Source organism: Homo sapiens, chromosome 3, assembly GCF_000001405.40.
Source record: "Homo sapiens chromosome 3, GRCh38.p14 Primary Assembly".
NCBI classification, from domain to species: Eukaryota; Metazoa; Chordata; class Mammalia; order Primates; family Hominidae; genus Homo; species Homo sapiens.
Genome location: NC_000003.12, coordinates 141,161,766 through 141,172,250, shown reverse-complemented (window position 1 = coordinate 141,172,250; position 10,485 = coordinate 141,161,766).

Genomic DNA, 10,485 nt, shown 5'->3' with positions numbered 1-10,485 from the left:
ATTTCCAGTTTGGAGAAATTTTAAGTAAAGGTGCTATAAATATTTGTGACATGTCTTTCTGTGAAGAGGTTTTAGTTTCTCTTGGGAAATTATCTGGGAGTGGAATGGCTGGATTGTATGGTAAATGAATGTTCAAGTTTTAAACATTCATAAAGAATTTCTTAAAGTGGTTTTACCATTTTACACATCACCAGCAGAGTATAGGAGTTTCAAACACTTCACATCCTAGCTCACACTGGGTATTGTGAACATTTTTAATTTGCTTTTTAAATGTTAGCTATTCTCATTGTGGTTTTTATTTGCTTTTTCCCCAGACTAATAATATTTAGCATCTTTTTGTGTGCCTAGAATTGCACCAGCTTGCTGCCTTAAGAGAGGCTCCAGGACATGGTGCAAAGAGAACAATCCTGAGTGGAGCCTGGTGGTGTCTCTGCTTATTTGTAAGTTGTTGAAGTTTCTTTTCAAATACTTTGTTCATTTTCATATTGTTTTGATTAACTTTATATTAAGTTGTAAAAGTTCTTTATATGTTCTGGATACAAGTACTTTTTCAGATATAAGAATAGAAAATATTTTCTTTGATACCATGACTTGCCTTTTTTTAAGCAGTGTATTTTGGAGATAAAAGATTTTTATAAAGTCCAACTTATCAACGTTTTGCTTTATGTTTCATGCTTTTCTGGCCCCAAGTAACCTTTGCTTATTCCCAGGTTGCAACAATTTTTTCATGTGTTTTCTAATAGAAATTAGGTTTTGTGTATGGCGTGAGATAAGAGTTGGTTTTTATATCAATATCAAATCACACTAGTGTTATTTGTTGAAAAATCTTACCTTGCTCTATTGAATTGCCTTGGCAATGTTGTTGAAAATCAGTTGATCGATAATTCTTTCAGAAAAAAATGGAGGGCCAGGGACTGGATTGAACTTCCTCTCTGAAGCAAAAAACCCCAAGCAAACAGAAAAATATATACAAGACATATGAAATAAGACACTGTACATCAGGCTGTTGCCTGTTAAGGACAATGTTCTCTGGACGACAGAAGAGATACAAGGTGAGGCCTAGAATTGCACCAGCTTACTGCTTTAAGAGAGGCTCCAGGACATGGTGCAAAGAGAACAACCCCGAGTGGAGCCTGGTGGTATCTCTGCACTTGAGGACATGGAGCTGCTAGTCCAGGGAGGCCAAGGTGGCTAGAGTTCACAGGGCAGAGCACTGAAGAGGAGGGAGTGGCACAGAGAAAGAACCTGGTAATGGACAGGGGGATCTCCCTCAAGTACAGACGTACCTCAGAGATACTGTGGGTTCCGTTCCAGGCCCCAGCAATAAGGCACATATCACAATAAAGTGAGTTGCACAATTTTTTTGTCTTTCTAGTGTATATAAGTGTTTATACTATACCATAGTCTATTATGGTGAGTCACCAATAGACTATGGTAGAGTATAAACATAACATAGCTAGTTACCAGGCTAGCTCACCCATAATCTATTATGGCAGACTATGGTATAGTATAAACATAACATTTACATACACTACACAAATAGCATTATGTCTAAAAAATGTACATGCCTTAATTATCTGATAATTAAAAGATAATATTTAATATTTAATAATAATATCTTTTAATAATTATCTGATAATTAATGCAGCAATTCAGTCCCATCTTCAGGCTCCACTTCTAATTCTAGTTCTCTCGCTATTTCCATTACATCTGCAGTTACTTCCTCCACTGAAATCTTGAACCCCTCAAAGTCATCCATGAGGGTTCGAATTAACTTCTTTCAAACTCCTATTAATGTTGATATTTGACCTTCTCCCATGAATCATGAATGTTCTTAAGGGAATCTAGAATGGTGAATCCTTTCCAGAAGGTTTTCAATTTGCTTTGCCTAGATCAATCAGAGGAATCACTATTTATGGCGGCTACAGCCTTATTAAATCTATTTCTTAAATAATAAGACTTGAGTTAAAAATTACTCCTTGATCAGGGCTGCAGAATGGATGTCATGTCAGCAGGCATGAAAACAACATTAATCTCCTTGTACGTGTTTATCAGAGCTCTTGGTGACCAAGTGTGTTGTCAGTGAGCAGTAATATTTTGAAAGGATTTTTTTTTTCTGAGCAGTAGGTCTCAACAGTGGGCTTAAGATACTCATTCAGTAAACCATGCTGGAAACAGTTGTGCTATCATCCAGAAAGAGTAGATTTACCATAATTATTGAGGGCTCCAGGGTTTTTGCAATGGTAAATGAGCACTGGCTTCAACTTAAAAGTCACCAGCTGCATTAGCTCCTAACAAGAGAGTCAGCCTGTCCTATGAAGCTTTGAAACCAGGCATTGACTTCTCTCTAGCTATGAAAGTCCTAAATGGCATCTTCTTTTAATAGAAGGCTGTTTTGTCTACAATGAAAATCTGTTGTTTAGTGTAGCCATCTTCTTCAATTATCTTAGCTAAATCTTCTGAATAACTTTCTGTGGCTTCTTCAGCAGCACTTCCTGCTTCATCTTACAGTTTTATGTTTGGAGATGGCTTTTTTCCTTAAACCTCAGGAACCAATCTCTGCTAGTTTCCAACTTTTCTTCTGCACCTTTCTCATCTCTCTCAGGCTTCATAAAATTAGGTTAGGGCCTTACTTTGGATTGAACTTTGGCTTAAGGAAATGTGGCTGGTTTGATCTTCTATCCAGACCACTCAGACTTCTCCATATTAGCAATAAGCCTGTTTTGCTGTCTTATCATTCATGCGTTCACTGACATAACACTTTTAACTTTCTTCAAGAACTTTTCGTTTGCACTTACCACTTGGCTATTTGGTGAAAAAGGCCTAGATTTTTGCCTGTCTTGGCTTTTAGCATGGCTTCTTCACTAAACTTAATTATTTCTAGCTTTTAAAGTGAGAAATTTCTAGCTTTTAAAGTGAGAACACTTAGAAGCCATTGTAGGGTTAATTGCCCTAATGGCAATACTGTTTCTCAGGGAAGAGGGAGGCCTGAGGAAAAAGAGACAGAGAATGGCTGGTCAGTAGAAAAGTCAGAACACGTACATTTATTGATTAAGTTTGCCATCTTATATGGGTGTGGTTCATGGTGTCCCAAAACAATAGTAACATCAAAGATTACTGATCATAGATCCCCATAACAGGTATTAAATTCAGGCACAGTTGGCTTCACTGATGAAATCTATAAAATATTTAAGAAAGAAATAGTATTAAAATTATACACAAACTCTTCCAGAAAATTGAAAAGGAGGGAATCCTTGCCAACTCATTTTGAGGCCAATATTACCCTTACATAAAACCAGATAAGAGACATTACAAGAGACGTTAGCTACAGACTAGTATCCCTCACAAACACAAATACAAAACTTTAAAACAAAATGTTAGCAAATTAATAAAAATGTGTAAAAAGAGATAACAAATTATTACCAAGTAGGGTTTATCTCAGGAATGCAAGGTTAGTTTAACATGTCACAAATGATTAATGCAATTTTCCCCATTAATAAACTAACAACGGCCAGGCGTGGTGGCTCATGCCTGTATTCCCAAAATTCGGGGAGGTGGGAAGGTTGGTTGAAACCAGGAGTTCAAGACCAGCCTGTGCAACATAGTGAGACTCTAGGTCTACAAAAAAAATTTAAAAGTAGCTGGATATGGTGGTATGCACTTGGTACTCCTGGCTACTGGGGTGGCTGAGGCGGGAGGATTGCTTGAGCCCAGGAATCTGAGGCTGCACTGAGCTATAATCCTGTCACTGCACTCCAGCCTAGGCAACAGAATGAGAGCCTGTCTCGAGAAATAAATGAATAAATACATAAATAATAAACAAACTAAAAGCAAAATCAAACCATATAATCATCTCAGTACATGCAGAAAAAACATTTGATAAAATCCAATATCCACTCCAGATTAAAACTCAACAACAAACTAGCATTTCTTCTAAGGGGAATGTTCTCAACTTGTTAAAAGCCAGCTATGAAAAACAGCTAACATCTTAGCTAACAGTGAAAGACTGAATACTTACGTCACTAAAAGCAGGTATGAAACAAGAATGTCCTCCCTCACTGCTTCTATTCAACATTGTACTGGAGGGTCTGGCCAATGCAATAAGGCAAGGAAAGGAAATAAAAGGCATCTTGATTGATAATGAAGAAGTAGAGCTGTCCTTATTTGCAGACACCATGATCGATTATGTACAAAAACTAGTGAAATCTGCAAAAAGACAATGGAACTAATAGGTAAAAATTTTCTACTGTGGCAATGTTGGCAGGATACAAGATCAACATATAAAAATCAATTGGTTTTCTATATGTCAGCAACCAAGAATCCAAAGTAGAAAAGTGTTTAAAAATTTACAATAACATCAACAAATATTAGGCTGGTGCAAAAGTAATTGCGGTTTTTAAAATGTAATGGCAAAAACTGCCATTGCTTTTACACCGATTTAATATTAAATTAATATTAAATATCTGGGGGTGAATCTATCAAAAGAAGTGCAAGTCTTGTCCGCTAAAACTAGTAAACACTTTTGGGAGAAATTAAAAAAGACCTAAATAAATGGAAAGGTATTTTTTTTTTCACAAAGTAGAAGACTCAATAATGTCAATTCTCTCCACAACTGATCTATAGATGCAATGCAATTTCTACTGAAATCCAAGTAAATTTTCTTTTTGGGAGATATTGACAAGCTGATTCTACAGTTTATATGGAAATACAAAAGACTTAGAATAGTCAAAATGACTTTCATAAAGAACAAGGTTGGAGGATTAATACTATCTGATTTCAAGACCTATTATAAAGCTACAGTAGTCAAGATAGCATAATATTGGCATCAGGAAAGACAAATAGATCAATGGAACAGAATAAAGAGTCTATAAAAAGACCATACACATAGGGACAATTCAGTTTTTACAAAGATGCAAAGGCAATTGGGTGGAGAAAGGACAGTCTTTTCAACAAATGGTGCTGGAACATTTGGATATATGCACTCAATAAAATGACTTTGATCAATTCCTCTAAGGTAAAATATACAAAAATTTCCTCAAAGTGGATCAAACACCTAAATATAAAACCTAAAGCTATAAAATTTCTGGAAGAAAATACAGATGCAAGTCTTTGGAATCATGAGTAAGGCAAAGATTTCTTTAATAAGAGACTAAAAGCATAGTCTATAAAAGAATAAATTATTGATCTGGACCTTATTAAAGTAAAAAACTTCTGTTCTTGAAAGACACTGTTAAGAGAATGAAAAGACAAGTCACACACTGGGAGAAAATAAAGCATATATCTTATAAAGAATATGCATCCAGAATATGTAAAGAACTCTCAAAACTTAATTAAAAACAAACAAACCAATTAAAAATGGGAAAAAGATTTGAGCAGATATTTCAGCAAAAAAAGATGTATGAGTGCTAAATAAACATATGAAAAGATGCTCAAGCTCATTAGTTATTAAGGATCTGCAAATTAAAAACTCAATGAAATACCACTTCATACTTAAAACTACAAAGTCTGATCATATCAAATGTTGGCAAAGATGTGAAGGAAGTAAAACTCTCATACACTGTTGGTGGGAATGTAAAATGACAAAACTTTGGAAAGCAGTTTGGCAGTTTCCTAAAAAGTTAAACATACACCTCTCATTTGATCCAGCCATTCCACTCCTAGGTATTTACCCAAGAGAAAAGAAAGTCTATGTCGGAACATTAATGCTCACAGTTGCCTTATTTGTAATGGCCCCAAACCAGAAGCAACCCAAATGCCCATCAATGGTGAGCAGATAAACAAACTGTAGTATATCTATCCAATGAAATACTACTCAGCAATAAAAAGGAATTTACTATTGCTACGCATTAAAAACATGTATAATTATGCTGTTATTTAACTGAAAGAATTCAGGTAAAAAAGAGTACAGAAGAACCAATATGTTCTTTAGCAATCAAAAATGAAAATAACAAGATATTAAACTCAAAGCTTGGACACCAGTTAGTGAAGAACAATTGAAAGCAGAAAATAATTAGGGACTTGGGTATCAAATCAGGGAATTTTATTTTCATTTTCCAAGCTTGATGAGAAATGGCAAGTTGATTAAATCAGTCAGGATCTCCTTGATTATAAACTCATGTGATCATATGTAAATGCTCAACCTTCCAAATCAATTCACCCGCAGAGAATTCTCTTATTATAATTATTATGGGCAATTTCAAACAAGATTAGAACAAAGAGTATAATAAACTCTCATGTTCTCATCACCCAGCTTCAACAATTTTCAATTCATTGACAATTCTGTTTTTTGTTTGTTTGTTTGTTTGTTTGTTTCTGACAGTCATCCTCTGTCACTCAGGCTGGAGTGCAGTGGCATCTCTGCTCACTGCAACCTCCGCCTCCTGGGTTCAAGAGATTCTCCTGCCTCAGCCTCCCGAATAGCTGGGATTACAGGCACCCGCCACCGCGCCTGGCTAATTTTTGTGTATTTAGTAGAGACAGGGTTTCACCATGTTGGTCAGGCTAGGCTGGTCTCGAATTCCTGACCTCAGGTGATCCGCCTGCCTTGGACTTCCAAAGTGCTGGGATTACAGGTGTGAGCCACCGCACCTGGCCTTGACAATTCTGTTTCATCTTTATATCCCCATCCATTCTCCTTGCCCCTAGTCCCAAATATCATGCCATTTCATCTGAAGATATGTGTTTGTATTTCTACAAGAAATGGATTTTTTTTTGGTCTCTGTTTTATATTTCTAATAATTCAAATCCAGTCCTAGCAACTTCATCTGAAAATTTTGGAGGAATTGGTGAGGAATATGGGACTGCCTACACATTGAGAAAAGTGAATTGATTTACCTGCCGGGAGATTTTTTTTTTTTTTTTTTAAGAAAAGGAAAAAGAAAAGGCGTATCTTCTCTGTTTACAAAAGAAAAAAAAAGACTGATTTTTCTCTAGCTAGTGGGCAGTGATATCCTGTTTAGCTCTTTGTGGAAATCCCAGAGGCTGTTGTGTAACATAATCATTATCCAGGAAAAGAATGTGCATTTTAGATGAAAATTCGCAATTTTAGAACGTATGGCCTGTGTGCAGTTGGGCTCCTGAGAGCACCCACACTTGCTTTATAGGAGGTCACTTGATGCAGGGAGTCACTGAACAGATGTTGAACTCCTGTGAGTGCTTCTAGGGCGTTAGCTCTGGGAGTTGTTTTCACTAGACAGTAGGATTCTTTGTTCTTCCAGATCTTCAAATCTCTCAGCCCCCTTTCTTTTTTCCGCGATGGAACCATCTCCCTGCTCAGATGTAGTTACTGCCAAGGGAAACACTGCATTGAGTCCAAAGAATTTCTAGTGAGAAGGTAGTAACTTTTTAAACACAGAAGTTTGGGGATGTTACTCCTCCCTCCTCCTTAAAAAAAAAAAGAAACTTCAGTGGGCTGGGTGCGGTGGCTCACGCCTGTAATCCCAGCACTTTGGGAGGCTGAGGCGGGCGGATCACAAGGTCAAGAGATCAAGACCATCCTGGCTAACACGGTGAAACCCCGTATCTACTAAAAATACAAAAAATTAGCCGGGCGTGGTGGCGGGTGGCTGTAGTCCCAGCTACTTGGGAGGCTGAGGCAGGAGAATGGCCTGAACCCGGGAGGCGGAGCTTGCAGTAAGCCGAGATAGGGCCACTGCACTACAGCCTGGGCGACAGAGTGAGACTCCGTCACAAAAAAACAAAAACAAACAAACAAACAAAAAACTTAGGTGTACTAAAACAAAGTACACGAATCCTAAGTACATAGTTTGATGCATTTTTACATATGTATGTATTCATATAATCATCACCCAGATAGAAATGTGAAACTTTTCTAGGACCCCAGCAAGCTCCCTCATGCTCATTCCCAAAATCAATAACATGCCTCTCTCCCTCCAAAGTAACACTATTTTGACTTCCACAATCATAGATAACGTTTGCCTGTTCTTGAATTCACCTAAGCGGAATCATATAATCTTTTATGCGTAGCTTCTTTTATTCAACATTCCATGAGCTTCATCTATGTGGTGTGTAGCAGCAGTGTGTTTCTTTTGCTGAAAATTGTTGTATAGTATTCCACTGTGTGAATATGCCACTATTTATTTTTGTTTTCTACCAATGATGCCATTTGGATTGTTTCCAATTTGGGAGTGTTAAGAATACTCTCTTTTATCAGTTATGTATATTGCAACTATCTTTTCTTAGACTGTGCCTTGTCTTTCACTCTCTTAATGTGATTCTTAATGAAAAGAAGTTATTAATTTCAATGAAGTTCACTGTGTTAGTCTTTTTCTTAATTGTTACTGCATTCTGTCTTCTGTTTAAGAAAGCCTTGACCACCCCAAAAACATAAAGGTTTTTTTTTCCTATGTATTATTCTAGGAGTTTTTTTGTTGTTGCTGTTTTGCCTTTCATATTTAGGTTTATAATCACTTTCCATTTAGTTTTTGTCTATGGTGTAAGGTAGGGGTGAGGATTCATGTTTTTTTCTATATGGATATCCTATTGATCCAGTACCATTTGTTGAAAACACCATCTTTCCCCCAGTGAATTGCAGCAACACGATTGACCATGTAAGTGTGGGTCTGTTTCTGGACTCAGTTCTATTCACTGGTCTATTTGTTTTTATGCTTACCCCAATATCAAACTATCTTAATTATTATCTTAGTCCATTTTGTGCAGCTGTAACATAATATCTGAGACTGGGTAATTTGTAAAGAATAGAGATTTATTTCTTCCAGTTCTGGACACTGGGAAGTCCAAGGTCAAGGGGCCTGTATCTGGCAAAGGCCTTCTTGCTGCATCGTCCTATGGCAGAAGGCAGAAGGGCAAGACAGCACACGCCAGAAAAAGAGAGGGAAGAGGGTCAAACTCATCCTTTTATCAGGAAACCACTCCTATGATAACTAACTCATTCTCGAGGTAACAACATTAATCTATCCATGAGGGCTGCCCTCGCGACCTAACCACCTCTTAAGGGCCCCATCTCTCAACATTGTTGCATTGGGAATTAAGTTTCTAATGCATGAACTTTGGGGGACACATTCAAACCGTAACAATCATCATATCTTCATAGTTTTCTCAGTATCTGGTAATGTAAGTTTCCTATTTTGTTTTTCTTTTCTTCATTATTATTTTTTAACTTTTATTTCAGGTTTGGGGGTACATGTGAAGGTTACATAGGTAAACACATGTCATACAGGTTTGCTGTACATATTATTTCATTACCCAGGCATTAAGCCCAGTACACAATTGTTAACTTTTCTGCTCCTCTTCCTCCTCCCACCCTCCCCCATCAAATAGACCCCAGTATCTGTTGTTTCCTTCTTTGTGTTCATAAGTTCTCATCATTTAGCTTCCACTTTTAAGTGAGAACATGTGGTATTTGGTTTTCTGTTCCTGTGTTAGTTTGCTAAGGATAATAGCCTCCAGCTCCATCCATGTTCCCGCAAAAGACATGATCTCATTTGTTTTTATGGCTGCATAGTATTCTATAGTGCGAATGTACCACGTTTTCTTTATCCAGTCTGCCATTGATGGGCATTTAAGTTGATTCCTTGTCTTTACTATTGTGAATAGTGCTGCAATGAACATTTGCGTGCATGTGTCTTTATGGTAGAATGATTTCTATTCCTCTGGATATATACCCAGTAATGGGATTGCTGGGCCGAATGGTAGTTTTGCTTTTGACTCTTTGAGGCATCCCCACATTGCTTCCCCTAATGGTTAAACTAATTTACATTCCTACCAGCAGTGTATAAGTGTTCCCTTTTCTCTGCAACCTTGCCAGCATCTGCTATTTTTTAATTTTTTTAAACAGCCATTTTGATTGGTGTGAGATGGTATCTTATTGTGGTTTTGATTTGCATTTCTCTAATGATCAGTGATATTGAGCTTTTCTTCATATGATTGTTGGCCGCATGTATGTCTTCTTTTGAAATGTGTCTGTTCACGTCCTTTGCCCACTTTTTAATGGGGTTGTTTGGATTTTTTCTTATAAATTTGTTTAAGTTCCTTGTAGATGCTGGATATTAGACTTTGTCAGATGCATAGTTTGCAAATATTTTCTCCCATTCTGTAGGGTTTTTTTTTTAACTTTTTTTAAGCTTTTATTTCAGGTTTGGGGGTACATGTGAAGGTTACATATGTAAACACATATCACAGGGTTTTGCAAATATTTTCTCCTATTCTGTAGATTTCTAACTTTTAAAACTTTTATTGGCCGGGCACGGTGGCTCACGCCTGTAATCCCAGCACTTTGGGAGGCCGAGGCGGGTGGATCACGAGGTCAGGAGATTGAGACCATCCTGGGTAACACAGTGAAACCCCGTCTCTACTAAAAATACAAAAAAATTAGCCAGGTGTGGTGGTGGGTGCCTGTAGTCCCAGCTACTTGGGAGGCTGAGGCAGGAGAATGGCATGAACCCGGGCCCAGGAGGCAGAAGTTGCAGTGAGCCGAGATCACACCACTGCACTCCAGCCTGGGCG